A 25,507-nucleotide genomic window follows, 5' to 3' on the forward strand; every position below is an offset into this window, starting at 1 on the left:
AAGATCATCATGGGAAAGGTAGACTGTAAGTGTGAATTATTGATACTTTTCATTTTTCCTCACCCTAAGAGACAGTGCCTGAAATAGGTACCTTTCTTATCCCACTTGTCAAGGCTGAGAAACTTAATACATACCATAATCACAACTTTTGAGATAGAATTGAATTGCTGTCATTCAAAACAGCAGGACATCTTACAACCGTTTAAATAGCAATTCTTAGTATAATCTTTTCTGTCAAGAGACATACAACCATTTTAGGTAACAGTAGCTCAAAATATAATATTATTGACTCACTGCTCAGACTTCTTGAATTCATCAGTAAATTGCTTTTTGTATTGAATAATATAGACCTAGAATTATAGGGATCTGGAGTTCAAATTTTATATAGAATTATATGACAGAAAATTATGATTTATCAGTTTTTTTTCCCTTAGAGACAGGGTCTTACTCTTGCACAGGCTGGAGTATGTGGTATGATCATAGATCACTGTGGCCTCAAATTCCTGGGCTCAAGTGATCCTCCTGCCTTGGCCTCCTGAGTAACTGGGACTATAAGCACACACCGCTATGACCAACAGTTTCCTGAATTTTTTGTAGAGGAGTCTCACTGTGTTGTGCAGGTTGGTCTCGAATTTCTGGCCTCAAGTGATCCTCCTGCGTCTGCCTCCCAAAGCTCAGGGATTACAGCCATAGCCACCAATACTGAGCCTGGCCCAGGATTTATGAGTTTTTTTTTTGTTTTTTTTTTAAACCTAAAGGGCAGTATAAATATAAAGCAAGATGTGTTGTTTGAAAATTGCAAAGAAGTTTTTTTATGTTAAAAATAGTTTTCTTTGACAGTTTAAGCATGCTTTTTAGAATGCCTATTCTTTTGGTTCTCTTAGTTTAAAAACAATTTTTAAAAGTTGTTCATGTTTCTGATAACAAAGTAAACAGTACATAGATTTTTTTTTAATGGAAAGTAACAGTTTTTTTATCCACCCCCTGCCCCTAGTTCTCCCAATTCCATTCCCTTGAAGCAGACTGTTTAGCTGTCTTTAGTCTTACTCCTTCTGTTGGTTTTCTGTACAACTCTTAATAATACACTTATTTCTCATTGAATTGTTAATTGAAGTAATATCTTTTGATTCCCTGCTCTGAAATATGAGGATTTAGTTTGCTTACCTATTCTTCCTTTCTTTTCCTTCCTCCCAGTTAATGATAGTTAAAATTTTTTTAAAAAGATTATTGGTTGCCTTTATAGTCTAAAAATATATATTTAAACTTCTGTTTCTTATTCCTATGAATAACATGTTTTTTATTCTCTACTTTGTAAATTGGGGATAATATCTTCTCCATCCACTTTTAGCTGGTTTATATTAGCTACACTTAATTTTACATCTTCAAAGTTAATAACATTTACTTTGTACAGTGCAACTAACAACCAATCTTCTATGCTTTGTCTGTAAGTAAAAGGCCAATAAATTATACATTTATTATAACTAAATATTCAATGCCAGACCAAACAGCATATTACGATTAGATTAACTACAAGGCCAGTGTCATGATCTCTGGGCTTCTCAATGAGTCATAGCATTGAGGCACAATAGATCAAATCTTTCTCTCCCCACCTCACCCCCAATGTCTGATACTTAATTAAAGTTATTTTACATTTTAGTTTGCTTCATATTTCATCTGTGATTTTCTTATGCAGCTTTTTTTCCTTCTGGGATTTCTGATTACTTCCCCCTATGCCCCTTTAGTAGTCTGTTTTATTGGTATACACTCTGCAGCCCCCTCTTGCCTGTCTCAACCTGTTTGATTTACACCCATTTGTTTTGTCTCGCAGAAATATATTGAAATTTCTCACTCATTGGTGACCACCACCCTTCTCTTTGCTGTTTATTCCTTTTTGCATTTTCTGTATGTCCCCTACCCACCCAGTGGGGTCCTGAATGAGTGAGAGGTGAAAGTGTGTGTGCCTAGTTGGCCATCTTTAACCTGGACTTAGCCACTGAGTTTTGAAGTGTCTGTTGTATACTTTTGTGTGAAATCCATAAAATATCTTCTCCTATATCAAATCTTTGAGACTTCTGTCATTTAAATATGGGCAATATGTACTTTGTATGCATATAAATACTTCACAGAATCCATATTAGAAGGAAGTTACAGTGTGTTAAAAGAGATCACGGAGTTTGTTCTAGTTAACTTCTATTTTACAGGACGGAAAACTGAGGCACAGGGAGAGAGAGCAAGCATGTGTGAGCAGTATTCTTGCTCAGGGACTCAATTTAATGGCCTAGCAGAATTACAATGACATTTTTTTGACTTTGAATTTCTTAGCCGTGCTCTGATTCATAATGCCTCGCCAACCTTGAATCACGTGGTTTAGAGAAGTCACAATTATATTAGTAGCATGCAGTTCCTTCGGGAAGTTGATACCAATTCTATTGGAGGGATCCCATTTATTCTAGTAGTTTGTTGTCTTGAAAAAGAAGTAGAATGAAATTGTTTGAGTTTAAATATTTTTGCTCAAATTCTTGTTTTGGTTTTTAAAGATACTTTAATCAGTTATTATTGATATACTGTCACAGTAATTACCAGACAACAGGCATCCAGCTATTAATAACCCCATATTTAAGAACCAAGGCAAAGGAGAAGAAACGGTTTTGAGAATTTTTTGGTATTTGATTTAACAAAGCCTACATTTAATAAGGTATGAATGATAGTTAAGGGATTGCCAAGTATAGTCTTAGAAAACAGTGGCGCACTTTCAGCCTTTTTGTATGTACATAGGATGTTAGATGCTGTTAAAAATAAAAGTAGAATGTAACACATGAGGATAGAGCAGGCTTAAATTTTTTTTTTTGCATGAAGCTCATGCAATGACATTAATTGCTCATGTAATATTAGGGTAGTTCTAGCCGATGAAATAGTGTTAAACTTCAAAGTCCCAACCTGGTCCAAATTAGAGGCTCCAGGAAGGAATACCATATGCATCTTGATGGCAGTTTCAGGTGTTGGAATGAGATCCCGAATCATTTGATTCTATCAGTCATGATGCTTGGATTTAACTTAATATCAGCTTTCCATCCTGTATGGGAATGCTCTAATACAAAACAGAAGTTAAAATGACCCATGAATGGTGTGGCAGAAATTTCCAGCTTTAGAAATTTTAATTAGTGCTGTCAGTGGTTCAGTGAAGTCGTAGTGTTCCTTCCACAGGTTGCATGCACTGGTAGTCTCATCCTTTAGATGCATCCTCAAAACCCTGGCAGAAATTGCAACTTTATTGTTTGTTGGATGTGATTCTTTATACAGTATTAGTATTTCAAACTAATATACCAAAGGGAAATGTTATTAAAATGTAACGTTTTAATGAAATAAATTGTTAAGAGTGAAGATATTTTTAACATAATGTTCTTTGTCTTTATTTTAAAGAATTCAGAAGGAACTTGCAGAAATCACATTGGACCCTCCTCCCAACTGTAGGTAAGTACTCATGGTTTTTTATTTACTTGTATCTTTTGCAGAAGGTGCATTTGAACTGTTGGTTTTATATGCAGCTGTTGTTGTAGTCTGATTAATTAGTAAAAACATCATTGTTGTTTGAACTTAAGTGACTGTGGAAGACAATGGTTTTTGTCATCTCTGTGCAGAAATGGAATGTTCAGCAAGTATGTTTGTAGTGGTTGAACGGAGTTGCCAAAAGTAGTGTAATGCAATAACAGTAAGACAATGAAATTATAGGGTAACAAATACACTATGACATTTTAGTGGAAGAGGTGTTAGGGCCTTAAGTGGTTTTTTTAATGATAGAATAATAGCATGGCTAAAATATGTGCTATGTTGTATTGTTATCTTGTTGGAATTTGATTTTTAAAAATGCAGACACATTAAACAGTGTTTCTTCATGGTTTACATTATTTCTTGTCGTCATTGGTTGTGACTAGGTAAGAATGGGTGATTTGAGGCAATGATGTTAAATGTAAAACTCTCTCTCCCTTTATGATCATGACCTCGAATTTTCTGGTCAGTGTTTACTTTTAGGAAAGAAAAGTGCTTACCTGGAAATGGTTAATGTTATAAAGATACATGGACAAAGAGGAGAAAAATAACCTCTTACCTTATGCTGCTGCTTTGGGTCTGGTGCAGTAGTTAGAAGATGGCTGTTTGGTTATTTTTAAGACACTTATTTCTGTTTTGAGATGAGATCAGCATTGGAACCAGGCCAACCTGGAGTTTTTCTGGTTTAAAATGATAATCTTATGCATTGAAGGTGAGAGGGCCGATTAAATAAAAATTTTCCCAACGTTGAACGCAGGTAGAATTTATTGCTTGGTATGATTTCTGAGTTTACTGATCTTACTTTTATGTAAAAACAAAGATAACAATTTTGTGTAGGAAAAATTCTAATAGGACTTACTTTGTGGTGAATCTAATATGGTTCTTCAAATGAATCATGTACAGTTTATAAACTTACAGTAATAATATTCAAAGAATGTTTCACTCAAATAGAACAAATATTTCTTTGTTAGGTAAAACCGTTTAACCTAAGACTTTTTGTCACTCTTAGGACTGTATTACATCAAAGCCGTTTCAGATGGCAGATCATTGTTTAGCTTTTGGTGGTCAATGATTATAAGTGGATGGATTTGTGGAAAAACCCCAGTTTGAATTAAACCTAACATCCTTTGTTTCTTAGGATAATATTTGTTTTAATGGTCTGAATCTTTAAAAAACCCATATTATTAATATATTACATATATTATTTTTGTAACCTTTTTTATGAACAATTGAACTGATAAATAAGTGAACTTTATACACTTCTTTGCTTAAATTTTGACAACCCCAATCACCGGCAAAATAAACAACTTTGTTTTAATAAGTTTGTTTAAGGCTCATTTTTAATAAATGAAATCCACATACAGTATCATGTGATGTAGACTGCAATTTTGCTATTAGATAAATGGGGAAAGGAACTATATAAAGGTTATTATTTAAATAAACAAATAATTGAACCATAGTTCTATTAAAAGTAAAAGAAACGTTTAACTATAGTGTCATCTGAAATTTGGAGGTTTACTTTGTCTTTGAGCCTTAGTGACATCATTACTAGTTCATATGTAAGCTCTTCATAAATAGAGCAAAATGTGTATTACAGGTTTTAATTTTTAAATGTAGAAGTCACACATAATAAGCCCTTCAAACAGTTTCAGGGAAGATATCTACTTTAGTTAATTTTCTGACTTGGGAATTTGTAAGGAAATTCTCACTTGTGGGCTGAGGATTGGATAGCTGATAAGTTTGCTTTAGAAGCTAGGTCTGCAGTGCAGTGGCTTTGGCTCCTTTTATTGATTCTAAAACAGTTGCTTGGACTGGGTCAGGCAGAGAGAAAGGTTATTTACCTTCGTATGGCACTCCCTTTGGCAAGCAAAGGGTCCTCTGTGCTGTAGCTGATAGAAAATGTAAAACTGGTTAATCAACACTTATCAGTGTGCTTGTGTTACTTAATATGGATGTTTGGTGTGCTTATTAAGTGCATCACTGTGGTCTTTGGACTGTTTGGTGTCAAATATTTGGTTGTGGTTTGTAGTTAATCTGCCCATCTGTATTTCGGTGAAAATGTGGTTACCATCTTCAGAAAGAGATTAGATTGCAGTGTTAGTTTGGCTTATTTTTGGTCAAAGTTAACAGTGCTTTTGTGGTTGATTTTTACAAGTTCTGCACTGCCTGCATTGGCCTAATGACTGTAATGGATTAATTTATCAAAATAGAGCAAATTAAAGTTATCTGCCTAATAGAAGTCAGAGTCCTTTACTTAATCAGTTAAGTCATATCTCATTTCAGAAGAAAGCATCCCCTTACTCTGCTCCCTTTGTGGATTACCTCTCCTATCACACATGCCTCTCAAAACCCTGCCTTTTGGTTCCCTGGGTAGTTGTTAGTCTGCTATCACATGTAAAGATTATATGTGAGGGAACATCTGTGGGTTTTACCTGTTTAGTCAGAGAGTGGAGAACGATTTTTTCTACTGGTTGTCTGGGTAGGGGTGGGTGTGTGTCACATTCCACTTTGAGTGTGGTTTATCCTATTTTCGGGAACCTTAACAGACAACCCAATACTGTGTGTTTGTCAGGTTAGATGGAACCTCTGAATTTTGGTGCATCTCTTAGGTGATATCTAGTTAAGCTTCTTTTGGAATCATATTGAAGGAACTGTATGTGTTTAAGCGTTGTGCAAATCTGTTATTTAAAGAAGTTGAGACTATCAAGTCACCCCGAATCACAGCATTCAGTGTAGATAAAGTTTTATGTAAGGCATTTTTAGAGGAAGTTATTCTAATATAGTATTGGTTAATTTTTTTTCAGGTTTTGAATAAACAAATATTATTTTAAAGAACACCTACAAATGATTTAATAGATTGAATTATTTCATGTAGGAGATATTTGCCTCTACATATTTCAGTTTTTTCTCACTTTATTGTTGTCTTTGAAGTAAAAATGCAGTAAGATAGTTTTATTTTTGAAGTTGGGTTAAATATGTCATCCTTTTTAAAAACATTACTCACAGTTTAATGGGTAAATATTTTAAAACAAAACTTTATAGCTAAGAAAAAATTTCTGCTCATAAAATCGTAGCGTCTGTAGGGCCATAGGCATAGAAAATTACACTTCATTTGAGTGAAATTTGGTATATGCTTAGAGTATTTCCTATAAGTAGTGGAATATATTTTTCTTGGCCTTAACTGTCATGTTGGCTAACATAACTGACCCATGACATTTGCAAGGGTTCTATCCTGAGGCCTTCACAGATCCACTGATCAATAAATGTTTTCATACTACTGCTGAGTTAGAGGTGCTGGGCAGTTGGTTAGAATTGCTCGTTACCTTGGTGCCTTGCACACCAGCTTAGATGGATAGAGTGGGTCAAATTGATGCTTTATCCTTACAGACCTCTAACAGGTAGATTCACTGCCCCTTATAAATGACTACAGGTTGTAACTTTCACAGTTCTTCACAAATTGTTAAAAGCAAGATCTTAGATCTGTGCATGTCAGTGTGTTCATTTATACTTCCTCGGTGCTAGTGGAGAACTGGCAGCTAGTGGGCCAGCAAATCTCCAGATAAAAATTAAAATTAAAATCGTCATCATCCAAAGGATAACTTGCTCCTCTGTATCACAGAGAAGCTAACTTGTTCAAATGCTATTATGATCTGCTACTGCTAAAGTTTGTATTAGGTTTACGAGCAGGGGAATGACAGAGAATCCTTATTACTTTTTGGAAGAAAAGACTAAGGTAAAATGATTTATTTGGATTTTGATTTTTGGTCTAGTAATTGAACAAGTAAAAGGAGGAAGTAAACCAAAAAAGAGGATGTAGTTATACTAGCAGTTTACACTTCTATTTCTATGTGTTTCAAGAATCTGCTCATGGAACACTGGCGCTGCTTTTTAATTTTGTCTTTTATTTGATAACAGCTTTATTGAGATATAAAGTGTAAAATTCACTTATACTTTTAGGTTTTTAGTATAGTCTCGGAGTTTTGTAATCATCACAGTCTGTTTTGCAATATTTTGATACCTCCCAAAAAATAATCCATGCCTTTTAGCAGTCACTCCTTCCCCATTTTCCCCCAGCTCTTTCACCACCAGCCCTCGGCAGCAATTAGTCTACTTTCTGTTTCTATAGATTTGCCTTATCTGGACATTTTGTATAAATGAAATCTTGTGTGCTTTTTGTGTCTGGCTTTTAAAATTTTTTTTACAAAGTGTAATATTTTCAAGGTTCATCCATGTTGCTGCATGCGTTAGTACTTCTTTTTTTTTTCTGAGACGGAGTTTCGCTCTTGTCGCCCAAACTAGAGTGCAATGGCGTGATCTTGGCTCCCTGCAAGCTCCACCTCCTGGATTCAAGCGATTCTCCTGGGTCAGCTTCCCGAGTAGCTGGAATTACAGGCGTGCGCCACCATGCCTGGCTAATTTTTGTATTTTTAGTAGAGACGGGGTTTCACCGTGTTGGCCAGGCTGGTCTTGAACTTGATTACCCAAGTATTTCTTTTTTAAAAATATTTTTAATTGAGGTAAAATATACATACATGATTTACCATCTTTACCATTTTTAGTGTAAAGTTCAGTGAATATACATTTATATATTTATATTCTTTTTTTCCTCTTGATCCCCCCACTCCCCTTCCTGGCCTCTGGTAACTACCAGTCTACTCTCTATTTTTGAGATCTACATTTTTAGCTCTCATGTAAGAGTGAGAACATGTGACATTTGTCATTCTCTGCTGGGCTTATTTCACTTAACCTTGCCTGTGGTTCCATCCATGTTGCTGCACATGACAGGATTTCATTCTTTTTTATGGTTGAATTAAATATTCCATTGTGTGTATATACCACATTTTCTTTATTCATTCATTTGTTAATGGGCACTCAGGTTGGTTCCATATTTTAGCTATTGTGAATGGTACTTGGGTAAACATGGAGGTGCAGATATCTCTTTGATACATTAATCTCCTTTCTTTTTGATATATACTGATATGCTTTGGCAATGTCCCCACCCAAATCTCATCTTGAATTGTAGCTCCCATAATTCCCACGTGTTGTGGGAGGGACTGGCGGGAGATAATTGAATCATGGGGGTGGTATCCCCCATACTGTTCTTGTGGTAATGAATAAGTCTCACGAGATCTGATGGTTTTATAAGGGGAAACCCCTTTTACTTGGCTCTCATTCTTCTCTTGTCTGCCACCATGTGATGCGTACCTTTCACCTTCACCATAATTGTGAGGCCTCTCAAGCCAGGTGGAACCATGAGTCCATTAAACGTCTTTTTGTAAATTGCCCAGTCTCAGGTATGTCTTTATGGGCAGCGTGAAAATGGACTAATATATAAATATATATACCCAGTATAGGAATTGCTGGATCATATGGAAGTTCTGTTTTTAGTTTTGTAAGTAACCTTTGTACTGTTCTCCATAGTGGCTGTACTAATTTACATCCCAACAACAGTGTACGAGCCTTCCCCTTTCTCCGCATCCTTGCCAGCATCCGCTATTGCCGTCTGTTTGATCTAAGCCTTTTTAACCTCAGTGAGATATTGCATTGTAGCAATGTTGAGCATTTTTTAATGTACCCTTTGGCCATTTGCATGTCTTCTTTTGAGAAATGTCTGTTTACATCTTTTGCCCCCCCCCCCTTTTTTTTTTTTTTTGAGTTGTCTCTCTCTGTCACTCAGGCTGGAGTGCAGTGGCGTGATCTCTGCTCACTGTAACCTCTGCCTCCTGGGTTCAAGTGATTCTCCTGCTTCAGCCTCCTGAGTAGCTGAGACTACAGGTACATGCCACCATGCTCAGCTGATTTTTGTATTTTTTTTTTTTTTTTGAGATGGAGACTCACTGTGTCACCCAGGCTGGAGTGCAGTGGCATGATCTTGGCTCACTGCAACCACTGCCTCCCAGGTTCAAGTGATTCTTCTGCCTCAGCCTCCTGAATAACTGGGATTAGAGGCATGCACCACCACACTTGGCTAATTTTTGTATTTTGAGTAGAGATGGGGTTTTACCGTGTTGGCCGGGCTGGTCTCAAACTCCTGACCTCAAGTGATCCTCCTGCCTTGGCCTCCCAAAGTGCTAGTATTACAGGCGTGAGCTGCGCTTGGCCCTTTTGCCTGTTTTAAATTGGATTATATATATATATTTGCTGTCAAGTTGTTTGAACTCTTTACATATTCTGGTTACTAATCCCTTGTCCCTTGTCAGATAGATAGTTTGCAAATATTTTCTCCCATTCTGTGTGTTGTCTCTTCACTTTGTTGATTGTTTCCTTTGCTGTGCAGAAGCTTTTTAGGTTGATGTAATCCCAGTTGTATATTTTTGCTTTGGTTGCCTGTGCTTTTGAGATCTTACACAAGAAATCTTTGCCCAGACCATTGTGCTGTAGTGTTTCAGGTCTTAGATTCAAGTCTTTAATCCATTTTGGTTTGATTTTTTTTGTGTATGGTGAGAGATAGGGGTTTAGTTTCATTCTTCATATATAGTTATCCAGTTTTCCCAGCACCATTTATTGAAAAGACTCTCCTTTTCCCATTGCGTGTTATTGATGCCTTTGTCAAAGATAAGGTGGCTGTAAATGCGTGGATTTATACCTGAGTTCTCTCATCTGTTTCACTGATCCATGTGTCTGTTTTTATGCCAGTACCATGCTGTTTTGATTACTATAGCTTTGTAATAAATTTTGAAGTCAGGTAGTGTGATGCCTCCAGCTTCATTCTTTTTGCTCAGGATTGCTTTGGCTATTCATAGTCTTGTGGTTCCATGTAAATTTTAGGTTTTTTTTTTTTTTTTTTTTTTTTACTATTTCTGTGAAGAATGTTATTGGTATTTTGATAAGGATTGTATTGAATCTGTAAATTGCTTTGGGTAGTCTTGTCATTTAAAAATATTGTTATAGTTCTTCTAATCCATGAACATAGAATACCTTTCCATTTTTTTGGTGTCCTATTTATTTCATCAGTTTTATAGTTTTCTTTGTATGAGTCTTTCACTTCTTTTGTTAGATTGATTCCTAGGCATTTTATAATTTTTGTAGCTATTGTAAATAGGATTGCTTTCTTGATTTTTTTCAGGTTATTTGCTGTTGACATATATAAATGCCACTGATTTTTGTGTGTTGATTTTGCATTCTACAACTTTGCTGAATTTCTTGACAGTTCTAACAGCTTTTTTTTTTTGGTAGAGTCTTTAGGTTTTAACATCACGTAATCTGGGAACAAGGCTGATTTGACTTTTTCCTTTACAGTTTGGATGCCCTTTATTTCTTTTCTCTTGCCTAATTGCTCTGGCCTTTGTTCCTACTTGTTACCAAATAAACTTCCATTTTTATGGATATACCACATTTTATTTTTCTTCTCATCAATTGATGGATATTTATATTGTTTCCACTTTTTTGCTACTATGAATAATGCTGTTATGAACATTTATGTACAGGTTTTTGGGTAGACATTTGTTTTCATTTCTCTTAGATATGTACCTAGCAGTGGAATTGCTGGGTTATATAGTAAGTCTGTGTTTCCTGCCAGCAGTGTATGAGGGCCCAGTTTTTCTCCACAACTTTGGCAGCACTTGATGTTGTCCTTTTTTTTTTTTTAATGATAGCTATCCTAGTAGATATGAAGTGGTATTTTGTTGTGGTATTGATTTGCATTATTCTGATGGATGATGGATGAGCATCTTTTCATGTGCTTATTGTCCATTTGTTTATCTTCTTTGGAGAAATGTTAGTTCAAATCCTGCTCCATTTTTTAATGACTTGTCGTTTTATTGTTGAATTGTAAGAGTTTTTTCAAAATACATTTTGGATATAAGTCCTGTACATCAGATATATAATTTGCAACTATCTTCCTCCATTCTGTGGATTTTTTTTTTTTTACTTTCTTGATAATGACCTTTGAAACATAGAAGTTTTTGCTTTTTGTGAAGTCTAAATATCTGTTTTTTCTTTTGTTGTTTGTGCATTTGGTGTCATATCTTAGAAACCATTGCCTAATCCAAGACCACGAAGATTTACATCTGTATTTTTTCCTAAGAATTTTACAGTTTTAGCTTTTACATTTTGGTTTCTGATCCTTTTTCAGTTAATTTTTGTATGTGGTATGAGATTAGAGTCCAATTTCATTCCTTTTGGCTTGTGTAGACCCAGTGTCCCAGCACCATTCGTTGAAAAGACTATTTTTTACACTGAATTGTCTTGATACCCTTGTTGGAAATCAGTGGATCATAAATGTGAAGATTTATTGCTGAATTCTCAATTTGGTTCCATTGGTCTGTATGTCTGTTCTTATGTCAGTAACATACTGTCTTTATTACTATAGTTTTACTGAGTTTTAAATCAGAAAGTGTAAGTATTCTAACTGGTTTACTTTTTTCATTGTCTTAACTCATTAGGTAAGGCATTCCCAGTGGAAATGGGAAGAGGCTGTGACTGGACATAAACCTAACTACTGTGTCATTTTACTACTCATGGGAGCCATTTTATAGAAGAAAGTGTTTTTTTTTTTTGTTTTTGTTTTTGAGACAGAGTCTTGCTCTGTTGCCCAGACTGGAGTGCAGTGGCACCATACCAGCCCACTGCAACCTCCGCCTCCCAGGTTCAAGCAATTCTCTTGCCTGAGCCTTCTGAGTAGCTGGAACTACAGGCGCATGCCACCATGCATGGCTAATGTTTGTACTTTTAGTAGAGACGGGTTTCACCATGTTGGCCAGACTGGTCTCGAACTCCTGATCCCAAGTGATCTGCCCTCCTTGGCCTCCTAAAGTGCTGGGTTTACAGGTGTGAGCCACTGCGCCTGGCCGAAAAGTGTATTTTCCACATCATAGTAACTAAAATGGTATGTAGGGAAAGTGTGTGTGGGGGTTATTTTTTGAAATTATAGAATAGGAAGGTATTGAGACAGAAATTAGAAACAATGTCTGTATGCGTGATCTCTACAAAGAACAACCAATGCAAAATCTAATTATTGTCACTAATTATTTTTCTTCTCTGCTTATTGTAATATTTGTACAGCAGTTTTTAACTTTTGAAGGATTTCTGTATGTGATGTCATTTAGTCTTTTCAACCACTTTCTGAAACTCCTAACATTAAGTAACTTGTTCAAGGTTGCCTGAGCCTCCCAAAGTGTTGGAATTACAGGTGTGAGCCACTGCGCCCGGCCAGGAAAACATCTTTAAGGAGGGATGTGAACTTGGCTTTGAAGAATGGGTGGGATTTGGAAAGGTAAAAGGAAATAGGGATGGCTTTACGTAAGAGAATGAATGAGAGCAGAAACATAAAAGGGGAGAATTTAGTATAGTTATTCTTGGGACAGTGAGTTTAACAGGTTGGCCCTCCTTCCCATGTGGGAGGTAAGATTTGTTAGGACTTTCTAGGAAGGGTGTTAAAATTACCAGTTGCTGTAGTTTGAGGTTTAAATACTGAGTAAAAGAGAGTGAAATTGAAGTTTTGATTTAAAAAAATTGTGTCATAGAAATTAATTTGTAATATGGAGTGGAGAAAGATATAAAGAGTTTGGGAATCCAGTAAGAAAAGTGTTGCATGAATACAGGTTCAAGTTATATAAGACCTGGTGATGTGATACCATGAAGACCAAAAAAAAAAAAAAAAAGGCAGTGGAAATGGGAGACGTTTTTGAACTGGCCCACCTTGTTGATGGTGTGGTTTTGAGAGACAAAATTAATGATGTCGAGGATGACTTTAAAGAGTGTGATATTTGTAGACTAGAATGGTGATACTATTGGCAGAAGTGGATTTGTCTCTATGGCCTCTACGGATCTTAAAATTGATAATACATCCCTCTTTATTTAGTTTGGCTGCCTGGAAACTCATAGCCTTATTTGCTCCTCAGTTTTAGTAATTAATTGCATTTTGTGTAGAAACCTCAACTCTCTGGTTGTATTTGATTTTTCTACCCTTTTCCCTCTTTTATATCCATATCTTCATTTGTACTTTCATACTACATATATTTTTGTCAGCCAGCTCAGAGTCTTTTCGAGGGAGGCATATTATTGGTAAACGTACAATGTGAATAACTGAAAGTTTATGTGAATGTGTATTGGTTAGCAAAATGCTGGCATAGTTTTTAAGAGGAGTTATTAACATGATAAAATTTAAATATACATTGAGGACCTATGTTATTTATTTAGGGTACTGAATTATTTGTATCCATCTCTTTTTCCTTTATCTAAAACAGGTAATTGAGGAATATTTTTAATTCAATCCTGTGAGTTCTTGACTCAGTTGCTACAGTGTTGAGTGGTTTTGGATAGACTTTTTGAAGACAAAAAACTTTAAATAACATTGGAAATGCGTGTACTAAGTGACTAGAACAGTTAACAAGAATGGAATAGCACCTGCAGGTGGGATAGCTGCAGAGTTGGGCTATGTGTACTGTGTGAGAGGGAGTGAGGGAGCATGGTCTTGCCTTATGTTCCATTGGCAGTTCAGAATTTCAAGAGTTTCAAGCTTGTTTATATTCTCATTTCTGTACTTCCTTTTATAATTTTTAAGATGAGCTCCTTCATTACTGCCAAGAGTATGTTTTCTTTTTGCCTTTACCTTGAGGCTGTCTTTTCACCTGAGGTACAACCAATATAGGGCTTTAAAAGGCTGGCTGCTTGTTATTTCAAATGGGGAACTTTATGTATAATAGTTTGCTGTCATGTACCTGTACTTCAAAACTGTATTAAGGGAAGACAACTGTCTCAATAAAATCACCATGAGAAAAATTCTTTGCTTTGTTATTTCAAAATGTTATTGTTTTAAGTCTGCCTTTAATCATAGCTTTAAAAATATTTATTTGCTAATAAAAGAAAATGTTGAATGGTAAAGTGAGTTTAGTGCCCATTATTTCTGGTCTTTGAATTTTTTTTAAATTCTTTACTGCTTTAAAAACGATAAAATAATGTGTCTGAAAAATATATATTAAATGGTCACACTGGGACTGTATTTTATAATAGCAACAGAACATTTTATTATTGAGTTTGCCCAGCTTTATATCTAGTTATTATTTCAGATTTATTAACTAAGCACTTTAGAGATAGGAAGTGTCATATTACTCTCCAACATGTAATATTTTAATTCCCATACCCCTTTTATCTTTTAAGATATCCTGAAACTGTATTCTTTCATGTATCCAAATTTCTTTACGGTGATTATTATGCTCGTTGATTTACAATTAATCAACTAAGCTTTATTGCAAACAAATAAAATTTTTTAGTATATTTTAAGACAGTGTAAAATTTGATTTTTGCATTTTTGTTGTCAGTTTGCTTTTTGGGCTATGTTTCTAAATAAATGTTCATTTAGAACTGTCTACATTCTTCAGAATGTCTACATACTTTAGGGACCTAATGAGATGCCTTTAAGGGTATATCTCAATCCGTATTTGTGTAGAGGCAGCACTTTCTTCTAAAACGTTTAATAGAATCAGGCAAAGCCATAAGCTAAAATTCATTTTCTACTTCAATACACAGCAGGTAGACTCTCTCCACACACTTTCGCCTATTTGGAAGATGAGGCCTAGTAATAATTTGAAATGACCAAAGGAGAGGCAGAACTCTTACACCAGAGCCAAGATTTCTGCCTGAGTATCGACCATTTTTCCTCCACCTTGAATCCAGCATCCCCCTCCCAACATTCCGCTACCATCACTTCTCCTGATGCTTCAGATTACAACTCTTTTACCCGTTTCACCCAGTCTGGCAAGAGCTCTTTCTTTAATCCCTGCATTTCAGGTAGCATTCAGTTCAGTATATCTGTGAATTAGTAAATATAATTAATTATAGTAGGGAGCTAACAGCTATTGAATGTTTCCAGTATTTGAAGCAGTGTGCTAAATGCTTTACCAGCATTATCTCGTGTAATCTTTACAACTGTCTTTGAGGTGACAGTAGTTTTATTATTTATTTTAAGTTTTTTATTTCCATAGGTTTTTTGGGGAACAGGTGGTATTTGGTTACATGAGTAAATTCTTCAGTGGTGATTTGTGAGATTTTGGTGCACCCATCTCCTGAACAGTATACACTGAACCCAGTTTGAAGTCTTTTATCCCTCACCCTCTTCCCACCCTTTCCCCCTGAGTCCCCAAAGTCTGTTGTGTCATTCTTATGCTTTTGAGTTGAGGTGGGTAGTAGTTTTGTACAGCATTTTATAGATGGGAAGACAGGCTTGGAAGGGTTAAGTAACTAACTTGCTGAAGGTCACATAGCAAGTAAATGGCAGAACTAGGATTTCAACCTTGTTTCTGACTTCAGAGCTCAAGTGTTTTGAGGTCTTGCTTTTCTGTTTCCATTTGCAAAACAGATTTAGGTGAACTGCTCTAGAACAGCACTGTCCCAGTAGGACTTTCTGTTATGATAGACCTGTTCCTTATCTGCCCTGTCCAGTACAGTGGCCACTAGCCATATGTGGACATCGAGTATTTGAAAGGTGACTAGTGCAACTAAATAACTGATTTTTAATTTTAATTTAGATACCAATATGTGACTTGAGGCTACTATATTGGACAGCATAGATCTAGAAAAATAGCTTTTTAAGGTTAAACTTATAAGTATATGCTTAAACTTATGTTTATATTGGGTAAGAGTAAACTACGAGGTCATTTTGATGGTGCTTGTAGTTAGGTATTTATGTTGTGTATGTGTATAAATACATATATACATAACTACATACTACGTAACTACTTGTAGTATATATTTATTTATCTCCCCTCTGCTATCCACCATTATATTCTAAGGACTCTTAAATATTGTGGGAGACAATTTAAGTAAAATACCTTTGTCAGTTCTATTAATTGGTTAGATATTTATTTTAAATTTCTTATCAAAATGAAAGCAATATTGCAAATGATTGTTTTTAATACAGACTGTGAGGCTACTGAAACTGGAAAGTTTATGGTTCAGCAGTGTCTGCAGCCCAGAGAGAGAAATAGGACTTCCTCAAGGATGTGGAGTTTAAAAGCAAAACCAGGACTAGTATTCAGTCCCGATAGTTCAATGTGTTGCTTATTTCACTGATAGAATGTGGATGCATTTTATAAACTTAGAGAATTTAGAAAACTCATAAATAAGGAAAATTGGGAGTTCTTATCCATGATCATGAGGTACATTGGAGAAGAGTTGGCTGGGCGCAGGGGCTCATGCCTATAATCCCAGCACTTTGGGAGGCCGAGGCGGGTGGATCATTTGAGGTCAGCAGTTTGAGACCAGCCTGACGAACATGGTGAAACCCCGTCTCTACTAAAAATACAAAAAATTAGCCCGGCTTGGTGGTGGGTACTTGTAATCCCAGCTACTCAGGAGGCTGAGGCAGGAGAATCACTTGAACCTGGGAGGCAGAGGTTGCAGTGAGCTGAGATTGCACCATTGCACCCTAGCCTGGGCAGCAAGAGCGAAACTCCTTCTCAAAAAGAAAAAAAAAAAAAAAAAGAGTTGGATTTATTTTTCCTGGAGAGGTGAAGGGTCATGACAGCAGTGATGAACTGTTTTCAGAGCCTTAACATTCTTTATTAAGCTTATTCTGTGTGATTTTGGGGAGTAGAACTAGCGCTGCTCTGTTAAAGTTAGAGGGAAACCACTTTTTTTGCTTGATAAAAGCCTTCATCTTCAGCCAGGGCTTTCTAGAGAAATAATGGGAGACATCAGTACATAATGAGAGCTCTACCTTTAGAGGAACTGAAAATGAATTTATTTGCTTATTTCAGAGAGATTTTCAGTTATTAGATGGGTGATGGTAGTACTAGAATTATATTTCCCAGATTCTGGACCCTAAACAAATGAAGCAGATTTTTATCAGCTTTTGTCCTCTTCACCCATAGATTGTGACTCATTTTTCCTCTCTTTGCCCTCTTGAAACCAGTGGTAGGTAATTTATATACTTCATTGGCCCACTTAAAGCAGCTTGTATACTTGCTATCAGTTCCACATCTTAGTTGGTTAGTGAGGCTTTTATTTCCTTCTTTCCTCAAAACTTAGATTTGTAGGAAGAGGAGGCTATAGGAAGAACATGAATAAATGAGTCTGGTTTGAGGATAGGGATTGTGTGTGGGGTAGAAAACAACACAAACTCAGGACGCTTTTAAAATTTTTCTTATTAAACAATAGTCAACACAAGACTTCTGTAGCCAGATGTTTGGGGGTTTCTCTTCATACACCAAGCAAGCAATCAGTTCTTGAAATCATCAAGCAATTGAATCAGTGTCCACAAATTCAATTCTGACACTCTCTACCTGGAGGTAGACTCAGAAACTACAGATTGAGGGCTTAGTCCCAAAAGATTGTATCCTTCTTCCTACCAGTCACAAGTCCAGGCCTCTTGGAACGTCTGACTGACTTGCTTCAAATTAGGGTTCTTGCAAACCCCATCTTTGGGTTTGTTTGATTAACTAGAGTGCTCACAGAACTCAGGGAACCATGTTTGCCGGTATATTACAAAGGATATTTTAAAAGGATACAAGTAAACAGCCAGATGAAAAGATATATAGGTTGAGGTCTGGAAGGATCCTGAGCACAGGAGCTTCTCTACCCATGGAAGTGGAGTATGCTACCCTCCTGGCACCTGGATGAGTTCTTGTTCACCTTTACGTCAGCCTCCATGTGTTCAGCTGTCTGGAAGCCCTGCTGACCCTGTCCTTATTGGACCTCTTATGGAGACCTTATTACTTAGGCATGATTGATTAAATCGTTGGCCAGTGGCTATGATCTTAAGCTTCAGTCCCCTCTCCACCCTGGAAGTTGAAGGGTAAGGTTAAACCCTCTAATCATGCTTTGGTCTTTCTTCTGGCAACCAGCCTCTATCCTGAAGCTGCCTAAGGGCTGCCAGCCAGCCATCAGTCTTGGCATACCAAAAGACATCACTTTGTACATTCCAAGGATTTTAGGAGTTGTATGCCAGGAAAACGGGGTTGAAGAACAAATACTATTTCAAAATATCCATCACTTTGCTAGGTCTCAGATTATTGCATGTTGTTTCATAAATACCTTTTACCTGACGTAGTCAAGAAATAAAAATATTACTGTTAATCAAATGTTAACATACATTGAGTTCATCATCTAATGGAAATCTTTTGATTATTCATTTGTTTAGTATATACCCCTTCAAATTTATCAAACTGTGTAACAAACTGTTTAGAATCCTCCTGATTTCCCCCTCTTTCTTTTGGTCCTGGAAAAAATAATACTTGCATCCTCAAAAATTGAATAAATGTTAGTGAAGAAAAGTTATGGTTTATTTGGGATGTGTTTTCCTTCCTACATATAAATGTTGCATGAGCCGAGAAATCTTAGGATTAAAAGAGAAGTAAAAGTTTTTAAAAGATTTTAAATGATAGAATACACTGAAGAAATCATTTTTGCTCTTTGCGCATACATTGTTTCATTTATAATCGATTAAGAGACAATTATTTAAAAACTTCGTCCAATCCTACGAAAAGATGACCATCATGTGTATAGGCAAAGGCACTATTCTGTGGCACAGTTTATTAGAGTAGAATGATTTGAGACCAACATGCAAGTGGTGAACTGGAAGAAGGTGACAGATTCAGCTGCAAGTGCTGAAGGGAAATCTTTGCCTGAAGGTAGGGCAGTTTCCTAAGAGTGGCACAGCCCATTGCTTTAAGCATGAACATTTTGGTGTCAGGCTCAAGTTAGCAGGCGAATGTAGCCCTGCATTTGCAGTCTTTGGATTCTAGGTGGCTGGTTAGTTGGTGAGTAAGGGAGACTGTAGGGGTGCAGTGGAGTGAGGGAGTTGGCAATAGCCTGAGCCTGTAGGGGAAAAGTGAGATGGTTTAGAAAATGTGAGAAAGTAGGACTGTAAGAGTTTGAGAATCAGGCTCCCTTGACTAAGGTGGGGCAGGATTGGACAGGAATAGTATCAGTCTTTTTAGTTTAAGGTAAAATATTTGCATTCTTATCAAAGCTGTTGTACATCACTTCAGTAAATGCTCTGTAATAGCACGGTTCATAAATGATATTAAACAGTGTTATGGTCCTACTTTGCAAACCCCTGAGATCTGAAGTGGGTGGAATAGAATAGATAAATTTGCATTTTAAGAGGGGGTGAACAAAGGAATTCAGTTTACTGTTTTGTTGCATTAATGTAAAACCCTTTGGAAATTTTTAGAGTTTATATAATAGACACTTTGTTTTTTGGATGATATCCTAAACATTGGAACAAAACCTTATGCATTTTACTCTAAATTTGGTTATAAGGCACTTCTGGGACTACCCACATGGCTTGGATGATCTCCAAGTGGCTTTAGTTATTAATATTATAATAACAAAAGAACCTCATTATAAGTTTTGCCTAAAAGGTAAAATGGACCCCAAAGAGAACATTAGAAGTAGCCTCCAATATTTAAGTAGCAGACTTACTCAGTTCTTGATTATCTGCATTAATGGGAAATTAATAGTTTACTATGTAGTATAAGGTGAAAATATGTAGTATTTAAAAAACTACATATTCATGGGATATGAATCACAGATGGTATTTTGAATATATTATAATGGACAGAGTGTTTGAAATACTAAATTCAGGGTTTAAATAGCTTCTATCAAATGTGTAAATATAAGTGTTATAAAATGTTTGGTAAATATTTATCAAAATTATCAAATGTCAATTATCCTAAATTGATTTTTTTTCCTTCTTCAAATTATGTATTGGCCAGATGTATCTTAACTTTGAGGTCAGGGGGAAAAGCTGTTAAACAGATCTCATGATTTTTGAGCTTACTTGGGTGTGGGTTGGTGAACTGGTTGCTGACAAAATCTCTGTACAGAGAAAGAGTGTTGCACATGGTTTCTGTCATCATTCTCTGTGCCCTTTTTTTTTTTTCTTTCTTTTTTTATTCTCCAGTTTGCCATCATTTTGAGAAGTGAGGTGTTTGGAGTGGGACATGACCAAACTGAGTGCAGCTTTGTAATCAGCCAGCTGGGGACTCCTGACTGGACTTTAGAGATTTTGGTAAATTTTGGTTGAGCAGATCTTTAGTTTTCTGTGTGGAAGGTAGTCAGAGATTGATGTTCAGTTGGACACATACATTCAAATTCACTCATTGACCTTCAGCTCCTCCATGGTCAGCCCCATCAGCTGGGAATCCAGCTGGAGAGTTTTGATTAATTTAGAAAATAGAGCCTGCATTTTAGTAAGCACACTTTCCTAGGTAAGAGATTAGGTAGGCTTAAATCGATATTTACGTGTTGACAGCATTGACTTTATAAGTTAGATACAGTGGGGGTGGTTGGGATTGATGCTCCATAGTCTTTTGGAGGCTTGGGAAGGAGGTAGGGGGCAGTCTCTTGCTGTACTAATCTCTAATGGCTTAGAATAAATGTCTCTTTCTAAGTGTTTATTAGAGTTAAGCTTGAATTAGGGTTGGATACATGTTATCATGTTGTTAAGCGGTAAGAGTTTGTCACAGGTTAAGAATAGTCTCCATGTTTGATAAAGCAGCTAGTCAGAAATTAATAGGGAAATCTGTGGATAGGTTCAAAATGGTATTGGGGGCCTGGGAAATAGCAGATAAAATTATATTTTTGAAAGAATGTCAGGCGCTGATGTGTTCAGAAAATATCTCCTACTAGGTTAAGTGAAATGAGATAAGCTAAGATACATTTTGAGGTTAACATTCATTTAACATTAAATATTTTCTAAGGGCCAATATGTGATCAGCACTGTGCTGTATACTGGGGATGCAATTATGAACAAGATGGAAGGCATCTCCAGCCTTTGTAGAGCTTATGTTTTAGCTGTGAAGACAGACTGGAACTTGTTTAAAAACAAAACAAAACAGAAAAATTGCCTTTATGATGAGCTGGGGAAGTAAACAGACATCATAATTGCTATGAAGAAAACCAGGGATGAGTTTTAGTGTGGGGTTCTAGTTTTATTTTGGGTTGAGAAAGCTTTTCTAAGGAGGTGAAATCTTAATTGAGAGCAAAAAGTTGTTAGGTACATAAGGTGTGGGGGACCATTAGTATTACAAACTGCATGTGCTGAAGCTCGAAAGCAGATAGCTCTGATGTTCAGGGAGCTAGCTGGAAGAAGTCTGGTGTGGCTGGATTGAGGGGGAGTGGGGAGTGGGCAGGGGAATGCTGTTGTACAAGATGAGGTGGCAGAATGAGGTTGTGGCCAAATCAAGCAGAGTTTGGCTTTTATTAAGATCAGTCTGGTTGCTAGATTGGAGGTGGGTAAAAGAGTAGATGCTGACAGTCATCAGGTGAGAGAGGATGGTGTTATAGATTATGGCAGTAGCAGTGGAGATAGAAAGAGGGTCATTTGAAGTATGTTTTTTGAAGGCAGGTGGACAGGATTTGCTGATGGGTAAATGGCAGAGTTAGGGGGACTGTTAGAACAGAGAAAGAAATCATGGGGTTGGGTTTGAGTCTGTTGGGGAAATGGTGGTGCCTGTTTTGAGATGGGGAAGATTTCTGGGAGATAAGTGGTTTGATGGACAGGATCAAGAGTTCTGTTTTGGATGTGTTAATTCTGAAATGTCTGAGACATCCAAATGGAGATGTCAAGTAGGCAGTTGAACATGAGTTTGGAGCTCAGTGGAGAGCTGGAAATATCAATTTGAATTGTCATCAAAGAAATATTTAAATCTGTAGGAAATGATGAATTTGTGTGTGGAAAGAATATAGACAGACAGTAATACTCAAAACCAAGCCCTCGTAACATTCAGAAATGGGTGAACTAGCAGCTAGCAGAGGAGTCCTAAGGAGTTTGCCATCTAGGGGGTAGGAGGAAAACCAGGAGAGAGGTTTCCATGAAGTTGAGAGAAAAAGAGAGTCCCCTGTTCTTAGTGAGTACATCTAAAATTAATAATTAATGAAATTTTCAAGTGAATACGAAAGTAGAATAAAGTTGTAATTACTTTCTTCACCGGGAAAGTAATAAGTAAATAAAGACTATTTAGTGGCATTGAGATTTCAAGAGTAATTTCTTCAGTAATTTTGCAAGATTATTCATATTACCTACTCAACCAGACTCCATAATTGGGCTCAGGAGGGAAGGCTTTCCCTTAGAGAAGCAGAGTTCTGTTCGTCTGAATGTTGTCCAGTCAGGCTTTGGGACTTAAAAATGCTTTTGAGGATTCTTAGGTCCTTTTTTTTTTTTTTTTGGCCTGTGGACTGAACATAGCTGTTCAGTGTGTATCATTATTTATTGCCTTTCTCTTACTATAGATTATTTCTCACAGGAGAAGAAGTTATTGCTGGTAGCATGTCAGTTTACATGTGTCTAGCTCCCATCTCTGGAACACATAATTAAGTGTGGTCGACATATATTCTTCTTCATTTTTGCCGTTGAGAAAGCTGTCAGAAATGTTACATCTGGAGAACAGGAAAGACTACCCTCAAAGCCAGCGTTGGCCTAAGTGTACTCTTAAACATTTCCTGTGGATGTGTGGACCGCCTGTCTCTCTATCTCTTCATGACTTCTGCCTGTGTCTTGTGTGTGCAGAGGCCAAATAGTAGTAGCAGAGATGGAAAACCTTCTCCTACACATGTGCACCAGCATGGTCCTTTGTCTCTCTCTTTCATTTGCTCTTCAAGGCTTCGCTCAAATACTGCTTCCATTCTGTAATTTTCTCTTCCCAGCGCACCCGTGGGACCTGTTACATTGAGTTAGAGGCAGTATTACACGGTGGTTTCTTTTGGAGAGACTGGCTAGACTACGTATACATAGCCTCTTGGTTAGTTACATACCTTCTCAGTGCCTCAGTTCCTTCATCTGTAAAACCACATGGGGTTGTGTGAGGATTATATGAGTTAATACATGTAAAGCACTCAGAGTAGTGCCTGGCATATAAGGGCTCAAAAATTGTTAGTTGTTGATGCTGTTGTTGCTGTTTATAAGGCTTGCGTGCATTTCTTTTCTTCATTTGTTTTGGGAATGGTGAAGGCATATAATGTATTATTCATTATCTTCTTAATATGTTTCATGTAATAGACAAATATTTTTATGTAGTTACTAAGGCAGATAACTTCTGCATGTCTTATTTTTCTCTAAAATGGTAAGCATACATATAAGTATCTTGTTACTTGTGTGTGACCCTAGATTGCTTGGTTGTCAGTATCTCTTAATAAAGATTTTCCCTTTCATCTGTTTGTAGAAGCCTCATCAGCTGGGCTGGTATTAGTAAAAGGAAGATGACTAGAAAATTCACTTGGAGATCACATGGACTCTTTTATTATTAAATTAAATAATTCATTTTTCATGTATACAACACTCATTAATTGGGGTTGTGTTTATTGGTGAAAACATTTTTTTCTTAAAATGAAATCTTTAATTTTTTTACATTAATTATACTTAGTATGAGGCACTTTTGCTTCATTCTTACAGGTAGGCGAATTGTAGAGGTCTTACGTCTTTGCTGGGCCTGCCACCATCAATAGTTTAGGAGAATAATAGCTTTTGAAATGTATAAGGCCTTACTTAAACCAAAAAATATGCTTTACAATGCAATTTCTAACAGGGTCTTAATTCATTTGTTAATATTTCTTCAGAACGTGGGCTTAAATTTTGTTTTAAAGTCTTATACAAACTCTTGAGGGGAAATTTTTTTTTAGTGTTTTCCGCTTTAGTTTGTCTTTTTTGATGATGCAGCTCAACAACCATAAATACATTCAGGACTCACAGGTTGACATTTTAATCATTCCATCCACAAGTACTCAGAACTGTGGGGACCTGGAATAAATATGAGATATGGCCTCTTGACTTTAGTTTATAATCTTTATTGTTGAAAAAAGCCTGGTTCCCTTGAAATAGTTAGAGAAAAATATTGGAAAGCATATAGAAGGAAGTGTGGTATAGTAGTAAGATAATTCATCTAGTAGTCTTGTTCATTTATTCACTAAAAGCCTGCTGAGCACTTTCATCTCCTTAGTGTCAAAACCTGAGTTTTGTCACAAGATCCGCCACTGTGAAATTGAGCAAGTACCATTCCTTTACCAGATTTACTCCACCTGCCTTGTAGGATCATACATGATCATGTATATGAAAGCTTCTAGAACACTAAAGCATTGTGCAAATGTAAAGAGTTATATAATGTTACATTGTTCGGGAGAGGCCATGCCTGTGGTAGCAGTTAAAAGGAACAAAACTTTGAGAGTTGAACTAGTTAGGTTGGGTGGGATTTTCCCCTTAAGAAACCATCATCAGTAAAGGCTGTTTTTTAAAAGCTAGTATATAGGATTAATAAAGTACAGGTTGAGTATCTCTTACCTGAGATGCTTGGGACCAAAAGCCTTTTGGATTTCAGAATTTGAATTTTGGAATATTTGCATATTCATAATGAGCGATCTTCAGGATGTGGCCTAAGTCTAAACATGAAATGCATTTATGTTTCTTACACACCTTATACACATAGCCTGAAGGTAGTTTTATTTCTCCCATGGGGACGCTGAATAAACTGTGTATTGTGTGCCTGCGATCTGACTGGGACCTGCCACATGGGGTTAGGTGTGGAGTTTCCCACTTGTGGCATCATGTCAGTGCTGAAAGTTTTTGATTTTGGAGCATTTCAGATTTCAGCTTTTCAGATTAGGAATGTTCAACCTCTAGCCGGAGAAAGAAGATAGTTTTCTATAAGATGGAAAATTTATCCAGTCATGCCTTTTTGGAACATGCGTGAATTTGTTGAGTAACTGAAATGTATACCTTCAGGTTCCTAAATTTAATTTATGTGAGATAAAATTTGTTTCTAAGTAGTTTTATATTTCCCTCTTCTTTGAAACAGTATGAGTTTAACATTTTCTTATTAGTTTAGGACCTCATTCTCAACCTCAGTTATGATACCGTAATATAGTGATCAATTATGGAACTACTAAGTTATCGAGGTAATAGGACTCTTGTCTCATGCCCTAAGAAGGACTTCAGGCTGCCCATTTAAAAAAATTGAGATATAATTTAAATACCATACAATTCACTCTTTTAAATTATGCAATTCAGTAGTTTCTAGTGTACTCA

The 25,507-nt window shown here is 36.4% G+C and overlaps 1 protein-coding gene across 9 annotated transcripts in view; it reads left to right on the forward strand.

Moving 5' to 3' along the window:
• Positions 1-25,507, forward strand: part of UBE2E2 (ubiquitin conjugating enzyme E2 E2) — a 388,828-nt gene that overhangs the window by 10,744 nt on the left and 352,577 nt on the right. For 7 of the 9 annotated variants that reach the window (XM_047448845.1, XM_017007126.2, NM_001370225.1 and 4 more), the window contains exon 3: positions 3,421-3,471. In XM_047448845.1, coding sequence (XP_047304801.1) covers positions 3,421-3,471 — 51 coding nt within the window. Of the gene's footprint in view, positions 1-3,420; positions 3,472-11,930; positions 14,269-25,507 lie in introns of those variants that run through there. The other 2 variants (NM_001370227.1, NM_001370228.1) reach the window with 1 other exon arrangement.

This window comes from Homo sapiens, chromosome 3, assembly GCF_000001405.40.
Source record: "Homo sapiens chromosome 3, GRCh38.p14 Primary Assembly".
In the NCBI taxonomy this organism is placed as follows: domain Eukaryota; kingdom Metazoa; phylum Chordata; class Mammalia; order Primates; family Hominidae; genus Homo; species Homo sapiens.